This window comes from Homo sapiens, chromosome 5 (assembly GCF_000001405.40).
Source record: "Homo sapiens chromosome 5, GRCh38.p14 Primary Assembly".
NCBI lineage: Eukaryota > Metazoa > Chordata > Mammalia > Primates > Hominidae > Homo > Homo sapiens.
Genome location: NC_000005.10, coordinates 5,296,349 through 5,323,879, shown reverse-complemented (window position 1 = coordinate 5,323,879; position 27,531 = coordinate 5,296,349). Strand labels below are relative to the sequence as shown.

At 47.9% G+C, this 27,531-nt stretch overlaps 1 protein-coding gene and 1 long non-coding RNA gene across 6 annotated transcripts in view; one reads left to right on the top strand and one right to left on the bottom strand.

The window, feature by feature from the left end:
- The window catches only part of LOC101929200 (uncharacterized), a 163,580-nt gene that overhangs the window by 98,250 nt on the left and 37,799 nt on the right, over positions 1–27,531 (top strand). Inside the window, exons 3-4 of one of the 2 annotated variants that reach the window (XR_001742583.3) lie at positions 4,102–4,183; positions 6,676–6,718. This is a non-coding gene — a long non-coding RNA (uncharacterized LOC101929200). Of the gene's footprint in view, positions 1–4,101; positions 6,719–27,531 lie in introns of both variants that reach the window. The other variant, XR_007059119.1, reaches the window with a different exon arrangement.
- Positions 3,576–27,531, bottom strand: part of ADAMTS16 (ADAM metallopeptidase with thrombospondin type 1 motif 16) — a 179,975-nt gene continuing 156,019 nt past the window's right edge. For 2 of the 4 annotated variants that reach the window (NR_136935.2, NM_139056.4), the window contains 5 exons: positions 20,411–20,612; positions 20,114–20,308; positions 17,152–17,376; positions 5,599–5,746; positions 3,576–4,857 (listed from right to left, as the gene is read on the bottom strand). Coding sequence is in view for 3 of the 4 variants with exons in the window: in NM_139056.4 (NP_620687.2) it covers positions 4,742–4,857; positions 5,599–5,746; positions 17,152–17,376; positions 20,114–20,308; positions 20,411–20,612 (886 nt within the window). In the remaining variant the exon portion in view is untranslated. Of the gene's footprint in view, positions 4,858–5,598; positions 5,747–17,151; positions 17,377–20,113; positions 20,613–27,531 lie in introns of those variants that run through there. The other 2 variants (XM_047416874.1, XM_047416875.1) reach the window with 2 other exon arrangements.

The window sequence follows — 27,531 nt, the reverse complement described above, 5'->3', positions numbered from 1 at the left end:
AGGGAAAGGGGCATAATGGTGAATTTTATGTGGCAATGTGGCTGTGCAGTCTTGAGGCAGAATTGCTGCTTCTCAGGGAAATCTCAGTCTTTGCTCTTAAAGCCTTCATCTGATTGGATGAGGCCCACCCATACTATGGAGGGTACTCTGCTTACAGTCAATTGATTGAAATGTTAAGCACTTCACAGACTGCAACACAGAAGCCCTGCCTGGCAGCAATAAATAGCTTACCAACCAAAAAGAGCCCTGGACTAGACAGATTCACAGATGAATTCCACCAGCGGTACAAAGAAGAGCTGGTACCATTTCTGCTGAAACTATTCCAAACAACTGAAAAGGAGGGACTCCTTTCTAAATCATTTTATGAGGCCAGCATCATCCTGATACCAAAACCTCGCAGAGATACAACAACAAAAAAAGGAAACTTCAGACCTATATCCTTGATTAACACAGATGCAAAAATCCTCAATAAAATACTGGCAAACTGAATCCAGCAGCACATCAAAAAGCTTATCCACCATGATCAAGTTGGCTTCATCCCTGCGATGCCAAGTTTGGTTCAACATATGCAAATCAATAAATGTGACTCATCACGTAAACAAACTAAAGACAAAAACCACATGATTTATCTCAATAGATGCAGAAAAGGCCTTCAATATAATTCAACGCCCCTTCATGTTAAAAACTCTCAATAAGCTAGGTTTTGAAGGAACATACCTCAAAATAATAAGAGCAATACATGACAAACCCACAGCCAATATCATGCTGAATGGGCAAAAGCTGGAAGCATTGCCCTTGAAAACTGGCACAACAAAAGGATGCCCTCTCTCACCACTCCTCTTAAACATAGTATTGAAGTTCTGGCCAGGATAATCAGGCAAGAGAAAGAAATAAAGCGTATTCACATAGGCAGAGAGGAAGTCAACCTATCTGTGTTTGCAGATGATATGATCCTACATCTAGAAAACCCCATTGTCTCAGCCCAAAACTTCTTAAGCTGATAAGCAACTTCAGCATAGTCTCCGGATACAAAATCAATGTGCAAAAGTTGCTAGCATTCCTATACACCAAAAGGCAAGCCAAGAGCCAAATCATGAATGAACTCCCATTCACAATTGCTACAAAAAGAATAAAATACCTAGGAATACAGCTAACAAGGGAAGTGAGGCACCTCTTGAAGGAGAACTACAAACCACTTGTCAAAGAAATCTGAGATGACATAAACAAACCATTCCATGCTCATGGATAAGAACAATCAATATCATGAAAATGGCCATACCACCCAAAGCAATTTATAGATTCAATTTATAGATTCAATTTATAGATTTAATGCTATTCCCATTAAACTACCACTGACATTTTTCATAGAATTAGAAAAACACTATTTTAAAATTAATATAGAACCCAAAAAGAGCCCAAATAGCCAAGAACAATAAGCAAAAAGAACAAAGCTGGAGACATCACGCTAGCCGACTTCAAACTATCTCACAAGGCTGCAGTACCAGCATGGTACTGGTACAAGGACAGACACATAGACAAATGGAACAAAATAAAGAACCCACAAATAAGATAACAAACCTACAATCACCAGATCTTTGACAAACCTGAAAAAACAAGCAACGAGGAAAGGAGTCCCTATTTAATAAATGGTGTTGAGAGAACTGGCTAGCCATATGCAGAAAATTGAAACTGGATCCCTTCCTTACACCATATACAAAAGTCAACTAAAAATTGATTAAAGACTTAAATGTAACACCCTAAACTATAAAAACCCTAGAAGAAAATCTAGGCAATACCATTCAGGACATAGGCATAGGCAATTGTAACAAAAGCAAAAATTGACAAATGGAATCTAATTAAACTAAAGAGCTTTTGCACAGCAAAAGAAACTATCATCAGAGTGAACAGACAACCTAAGAATGGAAGAAAATTTTTGCAATATTTGCATCTGACAATGGTCTAATATCCAGCATCTACAAGGAACAAATTTACAAGAAAAAAAACGAAGAACTTCATTAAAACGTGGGCAAAGCACGTGACTGGACACTTCTCAAAAGAAGACCTACCTGTGGCCAACAAATAAATGAAAAAAAAGCTCAACATCACTGATCATTAGATAAATTCAAATCAAAACCACAATAAGATACCATCTCACACCAGTCAGAATAGCTATTATGAAAACGTCAAAAAACAACAGATGCTGGCATGGTTGTGGAGAAGAAGGAACGCTTCTACACTGTTGGTGGGAGTGTAAATGAGTTCAGCCATTGTGGAAGACAGTGTGGTGGCTCCTCAAAGACCTGGAGACAGAAATACCATTCAACCCAGAAATCTCATTACTGGGCATATACCCAAAGGAATAGAAATTGTTCCATTATAAAGACACATGCAGGTGTATATTCATTGCAGCACTATTCACAATACCAAAGACATGTTCAACCCACACACCCATCAATGATAGACTGGATAAAGAAAATGTGATACATGTACACCATGGAACACTATGCAGCCATAAAAAGGAACAAGATCATGTCCACCGTAGGGACATGGATGGAGCTGAAAGCCATTATCCTTAGCAGACTAACGCAGGAAAAGAAAACCAAATACTGCCTTTCCTCACTTGTAAGTGGGAGCTGAATGATGAGAACACATGGACAGGAGGTGGGGGGGATAACACACACTGGGTCCTGTCAGAGGATGGGGGACTGGGGGAGGGGAGAGCATCATGAAGAATAGCTAATGGATGCTGGGCTTAAAACCTAGGTGATGGGATGATCTGTGCAGCAAACCAGCATGGCACACGTTTACCTATGGAACGAACCTGCACATAAGATTTCTATAATGCCTGGCTTCCCACCTGGCATTATAGAAATGGCCAGACTCATTGAAAAAAAAATTAAAATCTCACAACACACGAAAACAAAACACAGGACTCTAAGGTTATTGTCACATAGGCTGTGTGGCTGACGTCTGCTACAATAGAACCATAACTCTTCTCAGGATGGTAGGGTTTTGATGTAACCTATACTTCCCGCACATGTACCCTCAAACTTAAAATAAAAGTTGGAAAAAAGAAAAGAAAAAGAAAGAAAAGAAACTCTGCTTGAGGCGCCAGGCTGCTGTCCTGTGGAATTCAAACTCGAGGCTGCAACATCAACTTTTACCGTATCTCCAGCCTGCCGGCCTGCTCTCCAAATTCCAAAACTGCCAGCCTCTGCAATCCTGAGAGCCAATTACTGAAAATAATTTGCTCCCCATCCCCCGCCCCACCAACCCTCTCGATGTCCTACTGGTTCTGCTCCTCTGAAGAAGCCTGACTAATAGGAGTTGAGGTGGCACGGGGAGGTCCCACCTCCTTTTAATTAAATGCAGCAGGAAGCCACCATCACCAACCACCACCATCTCCCCTGCAGCCTCCTCTTCACTCAGGGGCACTTTCTTCTAGGCCATTTCTAGTTTTCTCCTGCAGTCTAGAGCCCCATTTCTTCCGCTTTGAGACCTGTCTCCCGGTATCTTAGTTCCATCCTTTGATTTCAGAAACAAACCTTGTGAAGAATCATGAGGTAGTTCAGAAGCACACTGTACCATATAAACTTTATTATAAAACTTCAGCAAATATAAATATCCAGGTGCCCCTTTGGAATGGAGCCACAGCACCGGACAGGAGAACAGCAGCCGCACTGAGGATGGCAGGGAGGGTGCCAGAGACGCCGGGCAGATTCCCACCCTAACACCCGCAGCCTGGCTTCCCACCTGGCATTATAGAAATGGCCAGACTCACCGAAAAAAAAAAGATTAAAATCTCACAACACACAAAAACAAAACACAGGACTCTAAGGTTATTGTCACATAGGCTGTGTGGCTGACGTCTGCTATAATAGAACCATAACTCTTCTCAGGATGGTAGGGTTTTGATGTAACCTATACTTCGATCTGTCATTTACAAAGAAAAGCATGAAGAAGTGTGTTTTTAAAAGGACACTCACTTGCAAATAACTGAGAAAGATAAAACATAAAGTATAAAAAATCTCTCCTTCAATGCATGAATCTGAAAGAGATAGAAGCACCTTAGCAGGAATTTCATTTTTCCCATTTCCATAGGCAAAGTCCCAAACCAGAATGCAGTCCCCTGGCCAGTGACCCTAGAGATGACGCTGGCTCCGGCGGTGGCTCCAGGTTCCTGGTAAGAGATGCTCGGCCGCTGGGGAGGAGGAGGAGGAGCCTGGGCAGCCTCCTGGAGCTCCCCTGACCTCCACCCAGGAAGTTGGTCACTCCTGATGGCTCGAGGGGCCCTCCTAGTGGGAGGGGAGGCTGGTGAACTAGGGGGTACATATTTTGTATGTTTTCCTTATTTCATGGCCTTTCCTTCTTTTTCTAAGGCACCAGACATTTAGCAAGTTCAGCCTCGCCTGTCTTTTTGACTTGATTTAGCTGCAACAGGCAGGGGTGAGTGCTGCCTCTCCCGTTGTGGTGCCTGCCTTCTGCCTCACGAGCCACAGCTCTGTCTGCCAGGGTGCCACATTTCAGCCTGACAGGAGACACTGTGTGCATGGGGACACAGGTCTGCACCCAGGCTCACAGTGAAACACATACATACACTCCTGGTCAAAGAGCCTAACACGGTTTTCTTCTTTTGGCTTTGCTCTTCCTTGGATGTATTCCGACGTAGATTGCACAGCTCATTTGTGGGAAATTTCTGTGCCACGCAGGCACTTTCTCTGCTACGGAGAGCGGTCCCAACTCACAAGTTGGACTTAGAGCAAGTCTTGCAGCACTGCTTGCCGTAGAACTTGTGGCTGCACATCCCGTGCTGGGGTACCAGGTAGCACCAGTGGAAGTAGTCTTTGCAGAAGGCATCTGAAAATGAGCAGAGCTGCATTACTCAGCGATCCCGAGTGCAGCGACTGATGTTGCCAGCTAATAGCTCTGTCTGGCAAATAAAAGCGAATTTGTCACGCTCTGCGGCTGCTGCAGAGAGGCAGCCCCCAGGTCTGATGGGGGTCCCGTGGAACCTATTATTTTCACAAGAGCCTTCTTGGAAGTTTTCTGCAAAACTGAAATTTTCTTCTTGTGCTGACCCCACTCACTCAACCACGCATCTACCCATTGGAGCCTCTGTTGACTGAATTTCAATTCTCCAATTCTCTGGTTGAGCCAAACCACTCGCCTTCCTCAAGCCACATTATCTCTCAGAATAGCCTTAACAGGCGCCCAGCCATCTGTCTCCGCAATGCTGGGGGATTTTGTGTGTGCACAGGGATGGCATTTAGAGGGCACCCAGTGAATAAGGGAGGCTTTTGTTTATCCTAGGGAGAAAAGCTGCTTTAGTTAAGATTGCTTTCTTTAAATATAGTGAACAGCATTGATATAGGAAAGAAGTCACGCTTATGTCACTACCATCTATGTTGTCCTGGGGCATCATGAGAGGCAGCCCGGTCTGCTCTATGGACCATTTCATTGTAAAACTGGAGAAGATGCAAAGAGAGAAAAGGTAGATCAGACGCAAGACCCTAACTCCAGGCCCCCCAAGGAACTGCTCCAGAAACCTGACATTCCAGCCCCATGCCCAGGTCATGCTGAGGGGCCCCATGTACTCACCTTTCTTCTCTGCAATGGGGCAGAAGTGAGTGTTGCAGGCCAGGGAGGCCGAAGGCTTCTGGTGCAGGAGGCAGCCTGAGGCCGGCCGGCCCCCAGCCAGGCACTGCACGGACCTCGTCTGAACGCCTCCCCCACAGCTGGCCGTGCACTGTGAGAGCAACACACACATGTCACCATGGCCCCAGGCTCTCAGGCACCTGGTCAACCTCAGTGTGCCCACCTTTCTAAAAGGCCTGCTGCTGCAGGCCAGTGAGGGAAGAGCGACTTAGTCGCAGAGGCAGGTGGAGTTATGGTTGGCCACGATGTGCGCGAGTGAGCACGGTCCCTGCTCACCTTTTCCAGAAGCAAGCACCAGGCATGTGCTGGGCCAGGCCTCTAGCAGAGCATTCCAAACCAACCAGCTGACATAGCTCCTGGAACCCTTCCTGTTTTCAGATAGAAGACAGCCTTGAGCCTTGAGCGGTGACAGGACTTGCTCAGGCTGGGATTTGAACCGCTAGAGTTGGATTCTATAGTCTCAACAGACGGTTCCCGGGCTTGGGCTTTGTGGGGGCTGAGTTCACTTTTTAAAAAAGTAAATATACTGCCGGGCACGGTGGCTCATGCCTGTAATCCCAGCACTTTGGGAGGCTGAGGCGGGTGGATCACCTGAGGTCAGGAGTTCGAGATCAGCCTGGGCAACATGATGAAACCCCGTCTCTATTAAAAAAAGAAAAAAAATTAGCTGGGCCTGGTGGTGGGCACCTGTAATCCCAGCTACTTGGGAAGCTGAGGCATGAGAATCGCCTGAACCTGGGAGGCAGAGGTTGCAGTGAGCTGAGATCATGCCACAGCACTTCAGCCTGGGCAACAAGAGCAAAACTCCATCTCAAAAATAAATAAATAAGTAAGTAAGTAAGTAAGTATACTGATTAAAAAAGCTGATATTCATGGATTGGCATATTATCTCCTCAAATTACAGGCAGCAAGGAAGAACAAACTTAGATCCCCCTGCCAATAAAGTTACCTACAAGTTATCCTTCTGATTGAAAAACATGAAAAGACTTAACATCTTGGTTTCTATTTACGGTATTTCAGAGAACACGGTTGCTGATGTTACCACCTGGGACCTGGCGCAAAGGTACTTACTTCCCTAACTCTTGTCCCCAGGACCAGCCCTTGTCACTGCTGGTTGGGGTAACCCCTCATTTCCTCTTGCCTCTGCATTTGAAAGCACCGCCCCTCCACCCAGACCATTTGAGGTGGTCTCTCTGTCTACAACTGTGAGTGGCTGGCCAAAATTAATCTAGGTATGGATAGAAGGAGAAGTGTCTGGAAGTCTAGAGTATTTTTGAGTGTGTCAATGATGGTTGCATGGCCACAAGGAAACTGGTGCATATCTGGGGATACCAGGCTTGTTCTCTGAGCCTAGCGTGAAAGAAGTAGTGCCCTTCAGGGAATGCCCTTGACAAGCCACCCTTTCTGGTGGTCCGACGGGGAGAAGCTTGACAAGCCAATCTTTACAGTGGCACCATCACCCACATTCCCAGGCCCCTGATGCATGAGGGTGGGCACTGCCAGCTGCTGGGGCTTATTTTGCTAAGGTGTTGGCATCCTATTGAGGCTCCCCCAATACTTGGAGTATCAACAGCACAGGGAGAGAGAGGGAAGGAAGGGAGTGAGCTCAGTTAGATTATCTTTCATGAGCTGGCATAATGCACATGCCACAGAACATGAGCAGGACCCATCTGAGATCAACCACTGAAAATAAATCAGTGGTTAGGCAGCTAAAGATACAGAGACACTGGAATCTGTGATTGAGTCATCTGAAAAATAAAACTACCCACTGTCTAGACTAAATCATGTAAATTGTGCTCAAACGAGGCTAGGGTTGGAATATGTTGGAAATGTAAGCAATTAAAGGAGCACCTGCAAGAAGATTGGGTCAGATAACATTTTGGAAGTCCTGGTGCATGGTGGGTGAAAAAAACAACAAAACTGTTGCTTTAAAATGCAAGGATCACACTGTGAAAAACTGGGGACATGCATGACTCCCTTTGCTGCCCCAAACCTACAAGAGAGTATGTCAGAGACCATTCCAGCAAGTGAAGGCATCAGGCCTGGGGCTGGTTCTCCACAGCCCAAACCAGCCTGCAAGTGAACAACCAGGGACTGAACCTTTCTGGGACCTCCTGCAATCAGAGCTTTACGAAGTGACTTAAATCGCTGGGGATGGGATTCAGTGATGGAGCAAGTCAAACATCTTTATCTGCCCACTGAGAGGAGAAAAGTTGGAGACACAAATGGCCCTGAAAGTCACAAGCTGAAACTGTTTGTCTGTTTTTTTCCCCTCTGGATGAGGAATGGCTGAGCCCCTGAGCATGTGTCTGGAACTTATCTGGGAGGCTTACTCCCTTTGCTTCAAACCCAATTTTAGAAAAAGTTGCCAACAATATATGACTACGGAAAGTAGAAAAAATAATGTGGGGAGATTCACGTTTGATTTCAGAATTATCAGGGTCACAAGGATAGAGCCAGATGTTGCCCATCACTTATTACATCTTTCGGAACATTCTGCAGAACCACATTTCTGCCTTTTTTCTCTGCTGTCTGCATTCCAGACACCCTCTTAGCTCACACAGTGCGCCGAGAACCTTGGGGCTGTGGTCACCCTGCTGAGACAGCAGCTCACAGGAACCCTTTGGCCACATCCGCATCCATCAGTGTCCACAACATCTTTCGTTTCTTGAGTTAGATTTATTTTATGATAAGCGGCTCAGGCAGAATTCCATTCTTGCTTAAGATATGCCTCAATTAGAAATCAAGAGATCTAGCCATTGGTTTTTTTTTTTGTATCATTTAAACAGTTCCAAAATAATTAATATGTGGTTTGATTCATTTTTGTCACTGATTCACTTATTCAGCAGATTTTAATCACTGATATGGTTTGGCTGTGTCCCCACCCAAATCACATCTTGAACTGTAGTTCCCATAATCCCTAAGTGTCATAATCCCATAATCCCCGCATGACCAGGAGGGCAGTAACTGAATCACGGGGGCAATTACCCCCATGCTGTTCTTGTGATAGTGAGAGAATTCTCATGAGATCTGATGGTTTTGCAAGGGGCTTTTCCCCCTTTCCTCAGCACTTCTCCTTGCTGCCGTCATGTGAAGAAGGACGTGTTTGCTTCCCATTCCACCATGATTGTAAGTTTCCTGAGGCCTCTCCAGTCCTGCGGAACTGTGAGTCAATTAAACCTCTTTCTTTTATAAATTGACCATCTCAGATGTCTTCATTAGCAGCGTGAGAATGGGCTAATACAATCGCCCACCTCCCCAGTACCAGGCACTGTTCTAGGCACTTGACATAAGTAATGAACACAGTCGACTTGGCCCTGAGCCTTAGGACAGTTGCAAAACCTTGCTACTCACAGTGAGGTTCTTGGCCCAGCCACAGGGGCCTGTGGGGAAGCTTGTTATCAGGGCCAACTCTCAGCATCCCTGCTTCCAAGATGCACAGTGTCAGAATCGGTGCCGTTCCCAGATGATTCCTATGCACAGGTGTGAGAAGCACTAGTCCAGAGAGTTTTACAATTCCCCGTGAAAAAAATCCATGGGGAGAAAAGCTTCCACATTTCTCAAAATTTTCATTTCTTTATGTAAGATGAAAGAAAGATGTTCAGCTGCACATTTTGAAAATATTTTGAATGGATAAAGATGGTGATATACTAGGAGATGAAAAAGAAGAAACCTGAAAATGTTTATTCACTTTTCATTCCAGGAAGAAAAAAATCCAAGTTGTTCCTCAGTCTCCCAAATACGATGGCTTAAAACTCAGCACAGCCATTTAGAATTCACCTTCCAGGCATTCCCTTGGTGACTTCCAAACAGACGGATCCTAAAAATCACCTGGAGCCTTGACAATCACACAGACTCCTGCGGGGCAGAGCTCATCTCTCAAACAAAGGGAACAGAAAATAAATACATGCTAATTCCTGGAGGCCACAGGCTTCACACATTTATTTTCTTACTGTGAAGTCTCTCCTGAGAGGCCTGCTCTAAGTCCCTCTCTTTATTCACCTTCCTCCTGAGGGCCTTGGTGTGCTCTCTCTCTCCCAGCTTAGAGCTTCTGCCCTGCAACTTTCCACTATTCCAGGACCAAATGTCCATGCTCATTTCAGGATGGGATGGCAGAGACCTCAATGGCCTCATTCACAGACACCTCTGCTGTCCACATAACCGACGTTGTGAATTTTTGTACAAATCCCACTGGTTACAAATATAAACTCCCTCAAACCCAGGAGGTGTGCATGGTCACCTTCTCTATCCAGCAGCAGGCCGGTTCTTGTTTTTCTGGGCACCACATAATTTTGGGAGATGATGACAGCAGATTTAGTGTGGAATTATCAGAGGTGGGAGACTAGATCAGGGTTCAGGGGATAACCCTGGGATGGACTGCGCAGCGTTCACCCAGCCTCATCGGTTGAGATCTCCATGCACTCTGTGTGTGTTTGCGTACACACGCAGGCACATGTGTGCTCCCGTGTGCACTTGGTGCAGAATGCAGTCTCATGCAGTCTTAATTGCCACGGTGGAAAATCAAATTCATTCTCTGACACGGCTGCTGCCCCTCAGTGCCCATGAGTTTCCAAATCAGTGTGTGCGCTGTCCTGGTCACAAATTGACCAAATTGTGGGGAGCTCCCAGAATGAGCCAGCCCCCACCCCCCACACTGCCCAGCACTGAGGGCACACCCTGTCTCTGCATGTGGGGTCAGTTTCCAACAGGTGATCGCATGCAAGCCATTCCCAGACCAAATTAGCGTGGGAACAACCTGACACTAAGCCCAAATGACTGCAGTGATTTAAATCAGTCCTGCGCTGCCCTGCACCATGAAATGTGAAGATAAGCAAAACATTTAAATCAATGGAAATCCTGCAGACCAAATAATAGGAAGGGCGATCTTTAGACTGTCACAAGAATAAGCCTGTCTGGTGGCAAAGTTCAGCCAGGCCCGGGCCATTCATTACCGTCTGACAATTTCCCACAGTGTGAAGGCAGAGACTTGGGCACAAGTGCTATGGTAAACACAGCCCTTTCAGCCATTACCACCCCCAGGAAAAGTTACAACCTCAGAACATAGCAGATGAATCATGGTGGATAAAGACTTCAGCCAGCTTGTGGTAAAAATGACTTAGACAAACAGATTGAGTATCTCAGACCGGCAACAGCTATTGAAGATACAGTTTAGGTTTTAGATGTATTTTAGGGTATACGTTAAATAATGATAAAGCTTGTTTTCCACTTTCTAAATTTGCCTGAAGTCTCTGCAGTAAGCAGGAGGGTGGTGAACGTGGGCTTGGCAGCCAGAGGTTAGGGTTCAGTTTCAGCGTCCTCAGTTTCCTCTTTGTCCCTGACCCACATTTCCCACAGACAGAGAAGGCAAAGTATCTGCCTGAGAAATGCCTCGACTCAGCTGCCTAGCTCACTTGCTGCTTTACCTGACTCAAAAGACAGCAGACTCAGAAGAAAACAAAAGGAAGGGGGCTGGGTGCAGCGGCTCATGCCTGAAATCCCAGCACTTTGGGAAGCCGAAGTGGGCGAATCCACTTCTCGAACCTGAGGTCAGGAGTTCGAGACCAGCCTGGCCAACACGGCAAAACCCCGTCTCTACTAAAATTACAAAAATTAGCTGGGAGTGGTGGAGCACACCTGTAATCCCAGCTATTTGGAAGGCTGAGGCAGGAGAATTGCATGAACCTGGAAGGTGGAGGTTGCAGTGAGCTGAGATTGCACCACTGCACTACAGCCTGGGTGACAAGAGCAAAACTCTGTCTCAAAAAAAAAAAAAAAATAACAACAACAAAAAACAACAAAAAAAGAGAGAAAATGACAAGAGGTCTCCTGGGCAAAGTTTGTAGCTACTGATACTTTTTGTCCATTTAAAATAGGACATGCTTGCAAAGGATAGAGTTCAAATGCTCCCTGCTCCAATAATTTAATTTCAATTATTTATTTCTAACTGGAATACTTTTGGGGGAGGGGTTCATGTATTTCTAAATGAAAAAGCTGCATCTGGTTTGGAGGTAAACAGGAAGCAGAGGTGGAGCTGGCCCACAACACAGCAAAGCACGCAGAGCTGGGGAGAGCTCTTTACAAGCTGCTTCTCCCCGGGTTCCCAGTCCCTGCAGAGCTCAGGGACTGGGACCAAACATTCTGTGGAGAAATAAAGAAATACAGCAGCAGACAGGCTCGGACACTACGGTTTTTAAAGAAGCGAACCGATGGCCGAGTGCAGTGGCTCACGCCTGTAATCCCAGCACTTTGGGAGGCTGAGGCGAGTGGATTACAAGGTCAGGAGATCGAGACCATCCTGGCCAACATGGTGAAACCCCAACTGTACTAAAAAATACAAACAATTAGCCAGGCGTGGTGGCGGGTGCCTGTAGTCCCAGCTACTTGGGAGGCTGAGGCAGGAGAATGGCTTGAACCCGGGAGGCGGAGCTTGCAGTGAGCCGAGATTGGGCCTGGGTGACAAAGTGAGACTCCATCTCAAAAAAAAAACAACCAAAAAAAACAAAAACAAAAACTAGCTGGGCATGGTGGTGTGCACGTGTAGTCCCAGCTACTCGGGGGGCTGAGACAGGAGAATCACTTGAACTGGGGAGGCGGAAATTGCAGTGAGCCAAGATCACCCCACTGCACTCCAGCCTGGTGACAGAGCAAGGCTTCATCTCAAAAAAAAAAAAAAAAAAGGAGCAGACTAATACACAGCAACGCCGTCTCACACATGCACACCCGGAGCTCCAGCGAGCGGAGTGAAGGGTCGTGTCATTTGGAGGGGATTTCGAGCTGGTTTTATTTTAGTTAAATTTTAGCTAATACCGAAAAAAGATTCCAGGGCGGATTAAATTGGTTCAGATAAATATTTGTTTGTTTCCTTTAGATTTAGATAAAACAATAAGAATGTTTTTTTGTTTTTTTGTTTTTTTTTTTTTTTTTGCCTATGTCAAACTCGCCTGGTCCATTGCAGCTTCCCGTGCAGGGCTGGGTTGAACTTGGCAGATGCTGATTTTAGGTCTCGGTAGGTGGTGGGTGTGAGTGATGCCAGAGGCCTGCAGAGTTGGGGCTACTTCGGTTCAGGGGGAGTCAGGAAGGCCGAGAGTGGACAAGCCAGCAAGTCCCTCACTTCTCAATGTCCTGGCCACAGGGGCTGCGAGGCACAGGGCCCTGAGGTCTTGATTCTGTGTCTCTAGCTTGACACGGGAGGAGTCCAATTGCCAGCAGAAGCCACGGGCATTCAGTGAGATCCAGCCCCTGCTGCTCACATATCTCTGGTCCTCGTGGCTCTGGGCTAGGGCTCTGCAGCATATAAAGTGAAAGAAGGCACTTGCCTTCAGGCAGCTGACCCTCTCTGGGGTCAGGAACAGACAAAATGAGACAAGGACACAAATAACACCCATGTGAGTTCCCTGGGGCTGCTGTAATAATTGCTACAAACTAGGGGCTCAAAATAACAGAAATTTATTCTTTCACAGTTTAGGACGCCAGAAATCCAAAATTAAGGTATGAGCAGCAGAGGTGGTGCCTTCTGGAGGTTGAGGGAGGGCCCGTCATGCCTGGTGCAGAATCTGGTGGTGCTGGCAGTCCTCGGTGTTCTTTGTCATATGGGCACCACTCCGATGCCTGCCTCTGTCACCCATCACACAGCCAGTGCCACCCACCACTTGCTCCCCATGTGAGGAGTCTCTGTGTCTTCCTGTGGTCTTCTCACGAGGACAGCCAGTCTTTGAGTTTAGTGCCCACTCTAATCCAGGATGATGTCAGCCCAGGTCATTACATCTGCATCTATTTCCAATAAGATTATATTCTGAGGTCCCGGGTGGACATGAGTTTTGGAGACATTACTCAGCGCAGGACGCTGCCAATGAGACACAGTGTGGGGTCCCTCTCCAGAGGAGAGATGACCAGTGGCGGGCTGGAAGTGGCCACAGAAAAGGGAATTGGGGGCTAGGAAGGATGAGAGATGGGCTGCGCAGTGTGGGTGGGGTCCTACGAGCTGGAGGATGGTGGACATGAGAGGAGAGACACAGGCTTGGGGAGAGCTGGTCATCGTCAGGGACAAATGGTTCCATCTGACCAAGCATTTGGGGGATGCTTGGCTGCTGAGCTCAGCCTCCTTTGTTCACACCTTGACCCCGGCTGCCCAACAGGCACCTGCACTAATTTCTGCACTCCTCTGCCTGCGGAGTGGCCTATGGTGGGTTTTGCCCCACTGGCAGGTCAGTCTCAGGAATTCTTCAATCCTTAAAAACCCAATCAAATTGGTTACTAGGGGACCTGGCCACCTGACTGGGATGTGAACTGTGCACGACTGTTTATGAGCTCGTCTGGCCACATTCCGTTTGCTTTCTCTGGCAGCGCCTCTCCCTCTTCTGATCACATGCACACACACACACACACACACACACACACGAGGACATGACCTGTCTCTCCTAAACCCACACATGCACTCTCCAGCCCACCCCAAACCAGCAGTGTGCTTGGGTGTATCTGTTTCCACTTGCATCATGGGTCAGCAGCCAGGAAGCACATGGTTGGCCAGTGAGGGTTACCTTTGGCTTTTAAAGATGATACTGTCAAAACCAGGTCTCTCAACAGATGCACAGTATCCACGCACAATGAAAGAAAAACCCCAGACCAGTGTGTGCTTTGATGTTCTGTGCTGCAGGAGGAAACTTCTCTAAAGACGGAATATTAGTAGCTGCCGGGACCCGCTCATTGAATTTGCCTTTCCTTTAAAATTCACCATTCAGCAAGCATTTCCTGAATACTTACTATGGGTTAGGCGCATGGCTGGCATATATATGGTATATCAAAGACAGTGAGCCCTCCTTATCTGTGGGTTGCACATCCCTGAAATCAACCAACCAAATCAACCAACTGCAGATCAAAAATATTTGAAAAAAAAATTTCACAAAATTCCAAAAAGCGCACCACTTACTACATTGACGCCATGAGAACGAAGAAGTGTGCAGCATGTATTAGGCATTATTAACAATCCAGAGATGGCTTCAGCCACCTGGAGGATGTGTGTAGGCTGCATGCAAATACTGTGCCATCTTCTATCAGGAACTTGTGCATCCTCAGATTTTGGTATCCAATTCCCGTAGAGAGGGATGACTGTATATGTGGTTTATGCATGTGTGTGTGAGTGCGTATGTGAGTGAATATGCACACTGGTAAATATATAGAATATACATGTAAAACACATAGCATAACAAAGCAATCTGGATAAACATCATTCTTGATGGTTTTCATGTGATCCAATCTGCTTTTTTTTTTTTTTTTTTGAGACGGAGTCTCTCTCTGTTACCCAGACTGGAGTGTAGTGGTGCCATCCAGGCTCACTGCAACCTCTGCCTCCTGGGTTCAAGCAATTCTCCTGTTTCAGCCTCCTGAGTAGCTGGGATTACAGGCGTGCACCACCACACCCGGTTAATTTTTGTATTTTTTAGTAGAGACAGGGTTTCACCATGTTGGGCAGGCTGGTCTCAAACTCCTGACCTCAGGTAATCCACGTGCCTCGGCCTCCCAAAGTGCTGGGATTACAGGGATCCTATCTGCTTTTGAGTAGCCTTGATCTATGCTGGCCTTACTAGGCTCGGGGCCCACAATGGGATGGGAAGCGTGTCCAGGCAGCTGTCTGTTTTCTGTCCATACTTCCTTTTAGCACAGGCCCTGGGGGAGGTTGAGGGTGTGAGGTGCTCCCTGGGAGGGTGCTCCCTCCTCCTTGGGATGGGCTTGTTATGCTGATAGCTCACAGCAACACCTGGTACAGTGCAGGGGGACCCAGAACAGGTTGGCCTGAAGAGGTGGATGAGTGGGCAAACTGGGAAGAGGACTCTTGTGAGAGGCCAAGCACGGACTTCTCTGTGGACAGTGGCAAGAGGTGGGCAGAGAGGGAAGGCTGTACGTACACTGTGGATAGGGTTATTCCTATGGCACCAGACACCACGCTGATCACTTGGGAAATGTCTTTGGAGACAGGCAAAGACCTGTGAAAGTTTTTCTGAATGACAGAGCACAGGCCACAGCCCAATGGCCTCTGGAATCAGATGCTGGAAACCACGGAGGATGCGGGAAAGGCTTTGGTGACGGGTGTCTTGGTGGCACGATCAACGTAAGACTTCACCTTGGGTGTGCCACCTGTTATGGTCATGCAACCCTGGCCGGAGGCGGAGGTGTTTTGATGAGGTGGGAAGCAGAAGCACATGCATGAGGTCATTGTCATTTGCTTTTTAGCAACCAGCATTCAGCCCCCATGACAATAGGCTTCGACCGGGTCTTTGTTCTGCTGCCCTCGCCCAGGAAATGCAACCTCTGTCTGCCTCCTAGAAGTGGGGATATAGAGCAGAGGGCGCCGGGCAGGACCATGTCTAGGACCCAAGGACCCCAGTGCAGTGACTATTCTCCAAAGCCAAATGACACGTGTGGACCCCATCGAGCAGGTGAGCTTGTGCCTCTCACTAGCGCTGTGGGAGCTGACTCTGTGCCTCAGTTGCCTCATCTGTGAAATAGGGATGATAAGGTTACCCCCTTAGAGGGCTAATAGGAGAGAGAAAGGAATTGACTCAGAGCAGCGCCAGCACACAGGGCTCTCCACGGTGGCTAGCTGTTGTCCCTGCACTTATTCCTGTCCATTCCACTGTGGCACCCAGTTAGGGACCCACATGGAGATGGGCGAGACAGTGAGAGAGCACATGTAGGGGCTGTTGCCACACGCAGTCACTCCTATTCCCTTCCGCCTGCTTCCTTCCACCTCCATCTCTCCAAAAGGAGAGAATCAGAGCCAGGGCCTCTGCAGCAGGCAGAGGGCCTCTGTGTAAATTAGAAAGAGGCTCACTCTCCCAGCCAAGAGATGGGAAAAGGAGACCAGATGAAGCGCCTCTCTACCGGGCAGCCACAAGCCAGTGCACACGCTTGCAGTGTGCTGCAGAGAACCGAGTGTCAGCCTTCGGAACTCCTAAGGGGTCTGGGCCCACCCCGACCCGAAAGCAGAAATGCCAGCAGCATCGCAGGGGTGGTGGGAGGCGCGGGCACAGACGAGGAGAAACACAGGAACAAAGACCCCGAGGAAGGAACCCCCGCTCCATGGTGGGCATGAGGCTGCTAGCGACCCGATCAGGAAACAGTGAGGGCTGAGGGTGGGCTGAAAAGAACAACCACCTATTTATCCCAGGGCTCGCATTCCTTTCCTGTTCACACTCATCTCTGGGGAATTCAGCCCAGATTTTACCCAAGGCATTGCATTTCCTTATACTTAATTGGGTGACATTTAGAGGAAAACATATGTGCCCTAAAAGATTCAGCAACACTTGGAGACCATCCTCAGAAAGCCACACCCACACCCAGGAACCAGGCCACCCGCACATGCTCTGGAAAGAAAACCTCATGCAGTAGCTTGGCCAGCTTTGGGGAAAACACCCTCGCAGAAGCATCCCCGGGAGCCAGCGGCCAACCCCAGGCCAAGCTGTGCTCGCCCACTCTCCAGGAACCGAGGGCCTCCCCTACCTGAGACCAGGGTGAGGCAAACCAGCTGCCCCTCGAGGGTCCCGCAGCAGCAAATGGGGGGTGCCTGGGGCATGGAAGCGGGGCGCAGGCACGTTCCAGCTCCAGGCTGGGCTTCGGCAAATGTGAGCACTTCTTTGAGGCCAGCTCTCGATACTTTCCAGAAACATACTTTTCAGCACATTTTAAGAATCTTTTCTGTGTTCCTCTTTCACATGTCACAGAGCACTAAAAAGAAGAGAACAAAAGAAGTCAGTGAAAAAAATCTCTTTTTTTGCAAAATCTGTGGGTTAAAATATCAGAGATATCTGCTTGAACATTTATATAAGTGTGAACATTCAGTGAAAATTATTGGACCTTAGCATTTTTAAGAGACATTATAGAATCTATCATTAAAAATAAGAGGAACTTGAAGTCAGTGGCACAGCATCATGGGGCATAAGTAGGGGCAGGGCAGTCAGAAACCATGAAGGGAGTAATTCTAAAGCTACCGTTTCACTGGAAAATTAAAATGTTGGGCTGTCACTGATATCGAAGCATACTGAAACTTAATACATAAGTACATGTGGTAACTACCACGGGTCCATGGATTAACCCACGCAAATGCAGTGATGTTGGCCCCTAAAGCTGGGGCAGGTAGAAGAAACTCAGGGCTCACAATCTTCCCTAGGCATCTGAGTGCTGCCTGCGAGGAAAGGAAGCGTGCGTGGAGAGCACGTCCCTTAGCTCTCCACTAAGGCAGGCTCTAAGCTTGAGCTGCTCCAGTTGCAGACACCCTGGCTTGTGCAGAGGTGCCCTGTGCAAACGAGCAGGCCAGGCAGGAGGCTGCAGCCCCCACTTGCAGGGAGAACACACAGGAGCAAGGCACACTGTCCCACCACAGACTGGGCGCGGAGGGTCTCTGGGACAGAGGTCCCGGCCCCTGGCGTTGCTGTCTCCTGCTGGGGTAGAGCGGACGATGCTGTGCAGCTCCAGTGGACCTCTGGCTGAAGTGTCCCCAGGTTCCCCAGCAGAGGAGCCCAGGTGGCAACACCTGCCCAGGTCCTGACCTTGCACTCACATCTTTAGGCTTACAGGTGTGCTTTTTGTGCATCCTGATCGAAGATGGAGAGGACTTGGAACACTCCTCTTGGTTGCTCGCTGATCCAGGCCTAAGAGAGAAGCTCTGACGTGTGTGTGTGTGTGTGTGTATGGTGTGGGATGTGTGAGTGTGTGGTATGGGATGTGTGTGTGGTGTGGGATTGTGTGTGTGTGGTGTGGGATGTGTGTGTGTGTGGTGTGGATGTGTGTGTGTGGTGTGGGTTGTGTGTGTGGTGTGGGATGTGTGTGTGTGTGTGGTGTGGGATTGTGTGTGTGTGGTGTGGGATGTGTGTGTGGTGTGGGATGTGTGTGTGTGTGGTGTGGATGTGTGTGTGTGGTGTGGGATGTGTGTGTGTGTGGTGTGGGATGTGTGTGTGTGGTGTGGGATTGTGTGTGTGGTGTGGGATTGTGTGTGTGTGGTGTGGGATGTGTGTGTGTGGTGTGGATGTGTGTGTGTTTGGTGTGGGATGTGTGTGTGGTGTGGGATATGTGTGTGTGTGTGGTGTGGGATGTGTGTGTGTGGTGTGGGGTGTGTGTGTGGTGTGGGATGTGTGTGTGTGTGGTGTGGGATGTGTGTGTGTGTGTGTGGTGTGGGATGTGTGTGTGTGGTGTGGGATGGATGTGTGTGTGTGTGTGTGGTGTGGGATGTGTGTGTGTGTGTGGTGTAGGATGTGTGTGTGTGTGTGTGGTGTGGGATGTGTGTGCATGTATTAAATTTCAGGGCAAGGACTTTCTACCTGGACACAGCCCATAGATTATGCAGCCCACATCGCTTATTTTCTGTAGACTCTGCCTCTAGGGATATGCACCCAGGGATGTGTCTTTTCCAATGACAGTGCGTTCAGTTCTGTGGGACACTCATTCCTACCCTCCAGGTGAAAGAGGACCTGAAGTGCATTGTTAGCAATGGCAAGCTCACTTAAGCGAGCAAGGGTGTTCTTATTTTTTAGTAACAAACTGAAACAGAGTCTCAACAGGATTCAATGCCTTGCTTGGCACTTCCTACCAATCTGAACAAAGAAGCCATCGTTCGAGGGTGGAGAAAACGCAGTGCCTGATGAGATCCGGGTCCCTCCCTGAGGAGCGTGGGATCAGGGAGGAGCTTTCTTCCCACAGCTGCTGTGGCAATGCAGAGGCACAGCTCTGGGTTACGGTGATCTCTCAATACCCCGTTCAGACAGGTTCATGCTTGGCTGGTGGTGCTGTTGCCACTCTGTGGGGTGTAAGATTTCCAAAGTGCTTTTGGAACCACTTGGTCCAAAGCTGGTCATGAAACCATCAGTATTCCAAACTCATGATTCCAACGTTATTCCCATGATGAAGGGCTCCAGGACAGCTCCTGAATGGTGTAGAGGAAACGGCTTCCCAGCCTCCTGCAGCAACAGGTGATCGATTTCAACAAAACTAACAGGAGAGTTTCCTTTCGCAAATAGAACAGCTGCCCCCGGAAACTTGTCTCAGGAAATGGGTACTGTTTCTTCCCAAGCAACGCATGTTCTTCCTGCTCTTCAGGAGCCGCGCATTTCCTGGAATGTGGCTACACCTGCCCAGGAGTTAGGTGAGTCTCCAGGGCCCCGCTGTCAGTGAGATGAGTGAACCCCTATTCTCACGCTCACACCCCCTCAACCCTCTCGTCCTCTGCTCCACGCTGGACCAGTGATGATGACGTGGACGCCACTGTGTGATTTGCTCCCAGGACACGATTCAGAAGCCAAAGGAGATTAAGCAACCCCATGAAGTTGTTGGAAGCTGAGAAGGTGCAAGGAAGCCAAGAAGAGATATAAGGGGAGAAGAGAGAGAAGTGAGAAGAGAAAAACCAGGAGAGAAGAGGCAGTCCCGAGGGGAGAGCTAGTCAACCTCGCTCCCGCGAGACCAGTGCACCTACCTGGGACCAGGCGGACACCAGCCACTGCAGCTTCTTGGGCTTGTGGCAGCGCTGAAGCAGACAGGCTTCATGCATCCTGGGCTTGGGCTCGGAGGTGCAGACAGCGTCGGGCAGCAGCTGCGCTCTGGCCGAGGGGTTGGTGCTCTTACAGGCCACTGCCCGCTTCCTCCACCCCTTCCCACAGGTGTGTGAGCACTGCACAGAACAGTCAGGATAAGCACCCAGTGAGGGCCATGTGCAACACAGCAGATCATGCAGGGGCCCTGCTGCCACCCATGCCAACCCCACCCTGGTTACCTCTGCCCAGGGCCCGGCGCTCCATGCAGGTGGGCAGCTCTGAGAGTTGCAGGCCTGCCTGCTGGAGGGAGCAGGCTGAGGGCACAGGCTGGCCGGGACTGGCTCCGAGTCATAGTGCACCCGCCGTGTGCACTGCACGGGGCGGCTCTGGGCACCCCCGCCACACGTCCGACTGCAGGCACTCCAGTTCCCCACGGACCAGCTGGGCAGGGACAAAGAGACCTCGGTGAGGGATGGCTCCATCACTCTGATAGAAGCGGCCCCACATCTGATGTGGAGGCAGCGGCGCGATTTCCCAGCCACGGTCGTGTGTGTGCCGTTATTTTCAGTTCCACCTTTCCTGGGTGAGCATTCCTACCGGAGTCTCCCTGCGCCTGCTGTTTCTCACCTCCCTGATCCTGATTCATGCTCTGTCATTCTTTCCCTTCCTCTGGCTTTTGGGTTCCAGTGGACTTGGAAAGAACCCTATTCGGCACAGTGTGTCTGTTCTCTTCTTTTTTAAAAAATGCAAAATTTCAAACATATAAAAAATAAAACACCTCTGGGTTCCTGTCCACTCAGCCTTCACAATTTTCAGTGTATGCCCCCAACCCCTACAGCGTTTTGAAGGTGATTCCAGACATGAAAATATCTCAATATGCATCTCTAAAAAATAAGGATTTTTTAAAACATAACCGTAATATCACCATAACATCTAGAGCATTAATGATTCGTTAACATCCCTGAAGGGCTAGTGTTCCAATTCCCAGCTGTGTCATCAATATCATAATTTAATATGTTTGTTTGAGGATCCTAATAAAGTCCAGATTGTGCAACAGATTCACATCTTCTCTTTTAGTCTTTAGGCTTTACCTTAAATTTTATTTTTATGTTCAATGTATTTGTTAAAGAAACCGGATCTTTCCCTTACTGAGTCTTCCACAGTGTGTTTTGCTGGTTACAGGATTCTTGGAATTACATCTCTGTGGTGTTGGTTCTTGTGTTTCTCTGTCCTCTATCTTTTCATTCTTTAGTGGTTGGTTCTAGAGGCTTCTTTAGATCCTGGTTCTCCTTTCTCGTATGATTATTGCGTAAGTTATCAGGCATTCTTCCAGCAGGAGGCTCATCATGTCTGATTATCTTTCTTTCAATTTGTTAGCAGCTGTTGATGCTTGTAAATGTGTTTTTCTTTCCTGGTGATTAAAGTAGACCCCATCAACGTGCATGTTGTCAAGTGATGGGGTGCAGAGTGGAGTCTGAGCCAGGCTTTGCCCAGTGGCATCACCTTTGATCAAGACACTGTGCCTGAGTGTGTCTACCAAGCCTCAGCTGGTTTTGCACAAGCCCATCTGCAGGAGGGCTTGGTGTGCACCCTGGAGAGGCCGTCAAGAGGAAGGGGGAAACATGGCGCCATAACAGGGACTCACTGGGCAGGAGGGCTTGAGCTGCCTCCTGGAGTCACTTCTGAGGACTTGATGATTTCCATTCATGTTAATTTCCCTGTGCAACTCCCTGTGGGCCAGTCACAAGGGGATGAGAGGGGAGCTGGCTTCCTCACCACCTCCTTGCAAGCACATCAGTGCAGGGCACCAGGGGTCCCACCTAGGGGTCGCCTGCGAGGCTCTGCCTGCAGCTGTGTCTGTGCTGAGAACCCAGGACAGGGGCATCCTGTCTTCCACTCTACGGCATTGCTGAGTAGAGTTAGGGCAACAGTGACTTGCTCCTGAATCTCAGGGTAAACCCGAGGACTTGTGAAGATGCTCAGGCTTCTCCTTTGACCCTCCATCCTGTGCCCCCACACTGAACCCCACAGTCACCCTCAGGTTAGGTGTCAAAGCAGAAGCCCAGAGAGCTTGGCCAGGAACTCCGGAGGTGCCTCTGGCAGCAGCCACGGCACCTGGGAGAAGTGTTCTCGAGAATGGCATTTGTGGACCCAAGTTACACAGTGAGAGACAGAAAGGAGAAGGGAAATCCCGCTATGATCCCTTCTATGAACATCACTACGACTGTTGCTTCCAGTGCTTTCTGTGTGTAAACATATTTTTAACATGGTTCAGAGCAGGCAGTATATGCAAGTTTTATTCAGCATTCAAAAAATTCAGTGTCTAGGCTGGGTGTGGTAGCTCACGCCTGTAATCCCAGCACTGTAATTCCAGGCTGAGGCAGGAGGAATAAGCCTAGAAGGAGGATGCTTAAGCCTAGGAGCTTGAGACCAGCCTGGGCAACATGGCAAAAACCCATCTCCACACACAAAAAATACAAAAATTAGCTGGGTGAGGTGATACACAACTGAAGTCCCAGCTACTCAGGAAGATCACTTGAGCCCAGGAAGTCAAGGCAGCAGTGGGCTGTGATTGTATCACTGCAGTCCTGCCTGGGTGACAGAGCGGGACTCTGTCTCAAAAAATAGAATACAATACAATAAATAAATAAAAATAAAAATTCATTGTCCAAAACAAGTGTTTTTCTTATACTTCAAAGCCTTTATAAACACATTTGAGTGTCTCTAATTCCACAATCTGGATCGAGGTATACAGATATCTAAGTAAGAAAATACAATCAAAAAGGTTTGGACCTCAAGCTCCAGGAGATCCAGGAACATCCTGAAACTGCTCCAGTTCTATGCATGCCTGGCTGGACGTGATTTCTGAACAAAATGATGAGTGCCTTTCCTCAAGTTCTCCAGGGAGTCTGTGACTCAAGTAATTTTAGAGCCAAGGTTTGGACTCTTCTGAAAGTCCTGAGGATGAATTAGGTGGTAGAACCTCGAAGGAGAGGGAAATTGATGCTACTTCCTGGATGGGAAACAGAATTGATCCCGCCCCAAACCCTTGATAGCCACACCACATTACTTAAGGCCTTTAAACCGAGCACCATGATCGTTTTACTTGCTTTGGTTTGTAGAAGCCTTGAATTATTTTGTACCAAGTGTTTTCACTGAAAAGATTCAATTATATTTTTAAGAAAATTATACAAAGACTAAAATGTAAATTTGTGTACACATAAAAAATACACATGTCAGGGTTGTAGGAGTTGCCCTATATGGATTGTGGTAATGCTTCCATTTTCCAGTGTCAACGAGATTAGTGGATTTTTTTTTAATTCCATGTTAAGCCACCTAAATTACATACACATCCTCATTATGAAAAATTGATTCTTGGCTTCCCGTCTGTGATAATTCTCCATGTAAAGCCTCTCGGTTACTCTGTTGCCGCTTCTGTGTGCTTTCCTGTTGTTTTTAACTTTCCTCCCATTTCTTATATTTGCTCTCTCAATCCTGCAGCCTTATAAATTACAATGGGTATTCTACACTGAGGCTGCAAAAGACACGTTGGCTGCTCAAGAGCTTTTCACACCGCCTCGTTAAGTCTTCTGTCTCCACCATCTTAAGACGTTCCAACTGGGTCGATCCATTCTCTGCCTTCTCTCTTAGCTGCACTCCATTCAAACAGTCCTCCTGAACAAAGCTCCTTCATACCACATCTGGAAACACCAAGTGTCTGTTTTGTTTAAAAAACCGAGCTTTAGGGGAATGTCTTCATTTCAGCTCATGAATGAGTCAAAATCCACGCAAGCTTCTGTGCTAATGTCTGAGGGTTCCATGAACAGTAACAAGCTGTGTTCAGTTGCCCACCAGTGGCCACAAGCGTTCTCGCTTTGTTTTGGTTTTCCTAAGTCCACCAACTGGAAGAATGCAAAGTGGCTGGTATTACCCAAATCAGTCAGTTTCCACTGCGGGACTCTGGAGACGCAGTCCCCACTGGCCCTCAGGACCTCCACTGCCCAAGGCTCCCTCCCAGGGTGCTCCTTTGTGGCTCTCAACACTACCCAGAAAGTGACAGGGTTTACAGCCTTCGCTCAACGGTCTACCCAGGATTTCCTGGTATCATCTAATCAATATGCAATATCCCTAATGCCGAACAGTCTTTAGTCATTTCTCAACAAAATGACTCCCTCTTCCCCATTAAAAAAAAAATTAAAATGACATTTTGGTTTTTGCATATAATGCTTTCTTTGAAAATGCAAGTTTCCAAAAAGGGTTTAGTAAAGTCCCTTGTCATTACACACGACATCAGCAGATTATGTGTCATAATGACAATTCAGATGCAGAGGCCAGCCCTGGTCTGGGCCCGAGCTGCTGCCTAGGGCCAAGCCCCGCCAGGGCAGCCATGCTCTGCTTGTGGCTTTCACATCAGCAAGTCTCCCTGAGCCCTCCCTTTTAGAATTTAGTTTCAGTGTCTTTTGTTTGCTGATTCTTTTTGAAGTTTCACCATCCAGCATTCTGTTGTTCTATTTTCAAGAATAACTCTAGGAATTCTAGGCAGGAGTCTCTCATAACACAATAAAGACAGAGAATAACAATGGGGCAGAAACCTTGTCACGACACAAACCTACACGAGGCATTGATAAGTATCAGGGCTCCAGCTGCCAGCTGGATTTAGTCCAGAGTGGCGGGTGCTGGATGCCGTGAGACGCAACATTAGAATACAGCATTCGCTAGGCGGTGCCTCTTCAGCATCAGAGTTAGACGTGGGGACTCCTGACTTCCGCAAGCTGCTGTATGGGTCACAACTGTCCAGTAGGCTGTTCTAAATTAAACCATTCGTGTCACTGACTATACCCAGATACTCACACACTGCAGACTCAATGGCCCAGGGGTCAAGACAGCTGCCAACATGGTCTGACAGGATCAATATTACTTGGTTTTTGAAGACACTACAACCTTGTCTTCATATAAAATAGCAGCATCTTCACATGTATAATTTGAGATCTAATATAATGTAAGTAAATTGAATGCTTTAAAGATAGCAGTGCCCATTCAACAATAAAGAGATGTCAGTTGGAAAAATCTGCCTCTTCCATAGGGAAAACATTAGTTAGCAAATTAACTAAGAGTGCAGGCCGGCTGTAAGCTGAAAGTACAGAGGCCAGGATCAGCAGAACTTGGGAGACAATGATGTCCTAAGCCTGTCTGGCAGGTGGCCAAGGGCCTTATTACTTGCCATCCTCCTCGGTTGGCTTGGGGATTTGCTATGGGTCTAGGACAAAGGACGCTTCATCAGTATCACCTGGTGCCAGCTACACTCCAAGCAAGTTCAAAGGTAGAAGTCCAGCTCTGAAATAAACAATGATCTCTGTGACCAAGTAGGTAAATGAGCACAGTAGGTAGAATGAGTTATTAGACAGATTGCACTGTGCCCACACACGATGCCTGCTGGAGCAATGCACTCCAGTCTCCAAATCCTCCTAAAGTCCACCAGTCAGTATATCAGAAATCAAATCCTCCAAAAACCCAGCAGTCAGGACATCAGAAATGACAGCAACATGCCAGCTCATCCCTCCCAGCCACAGTTGGTTTGCATAGATGTTCCTGACACTGTCTGGCAGGGCAGGACCCTTGGGCTGTCTCCTGGGAGGTGTCCATCTAGGAGTTAATGCCAGGGTCTAGTCTGGTTTTTCATGTGGGAACGGACAGCCCATTTCTGATGACTGGTTGGCAAGGAACAGGGCCCAGCACTCCAGGGCTCGCTGTGAGCATTTGGAAGCTTGCAACTTGACAGTCACTTCATTTTCTTCAGTCTCAAAAGTCAAACCACTTTGCCCGATTTGTGAAACCCAAGGAGAGATTTACAATGAGCCAGACACAGACACTGAATTGTTTTCACCTCTAAATGCAGGATTTCTTTGCTGAAGCACACATAGCCAAACCGAGGACATCAAAGCTCCTCACAAAGGCAGCGCTGTGGGCGTCATCTTCAGGGACTGTGAGGAGCCAAAGGTGTGGAGGAGATACTACTCCGAGGCCAGCATGCCATTTTTACCAGGTTTTCCTGTCTCACCATCCTGTCATCAGAGCTTATCTTAAAAGGAATCAGTATGATCTACAGAGCTTTCACTGATGGGGGAAAGACAGGAACATGGAATTATGAGACACACAGACCAAAGAAACTGACCTCGCTTTTCAAAACAGACAGCCTCAGTAATTCCCTCGTTCAACAAAAACCCCTCATCTGAGGGTTTCCTCTGCAGAACACTGGGGGCTTTTGCATTCCCTTTTAAAAGGGAAACCAGTCAACTCTAATTGGCAACAGCACTCTGGTTCTTGGGATGCTGCCCCTCTGCCCACTTTCCAGGGAAGACTGGAAGAAAGAGCAACGCACTCTACTTTTTTCATCAGAGTAAGAGGTCTTCTCTTCTGTCTGGTGTTGACTCCTGCATCCTCTCTGCTGTGATCCACAGCCATATACGCCATTGCTTACAGACACCTCTGTCTCGTGGGTAAAGGGCATCCAGAGCCAGTGGTCCCCATCTTTGCTCTCTATGTGCTGGGAAGGGCTCCAGCATTGATTGCATTTACCAGCCTCGTCTTATGTGTGTGGAGACTGTGCTCCCAGAAGCAAGGTGATGCACATTTTACTGCCAGTCCCCTCTCCAAAACAGTGCTGTTGTCACAGTCAGAATCATTCCTGCTCTACTCAAAAGAACAAGAGTATTTTGCCCTCTTCAGGTTTCTGTGCTGGAAGGCCACCTCTCCCTTGCCGCTTCTGTGCCCCTTCAACACCCACCCATTGAGCCAACGGTTTCTACTACAATTACCTTTGCTATGGACTAAAAACTACTGTGGTGGTAACACACGGGTAGGCAACCTAACGATCTAGACCTAATTACATCTGAGGTTGAGTCCTGTCTGAGTAAGAGGTAACTCCCTCCTCTTTACCAGGCTTAACATCCAAAGTTCTCATGTCCAACGATAGCACAAAGGGGCAGCTGCCGTGGGGCTCTCAAACACCTGCACATTCCTGGTCTCGCTCCTGTTCTGTATGAACCAGAAATTGAACGGCCTTGGCTCTCTAGGGGTTAGGGGTCAGGAATCTGAAATTGTGCAAAGCCTGGGGGCCTGGATGACTGGCAGCTTTGGAAACACGATTTTTGAAATGTAACATCCAGCTCTTCAGAAAATCCCCGAGACTGGCCAAGAAAGTTCTGAGCTACCCTCCCTTCCCCTTTGTGGCGTCAATTTCTTGTATTAAAGTTGTACTAATTTTATTTTTTACCCATTATGAGGACTAACTAGGATGTGGCAATAAAAAAACTGGGGAGGGCGGGGAGTCCGGTCAACCGATTCCTCCGGAGGAAAACAG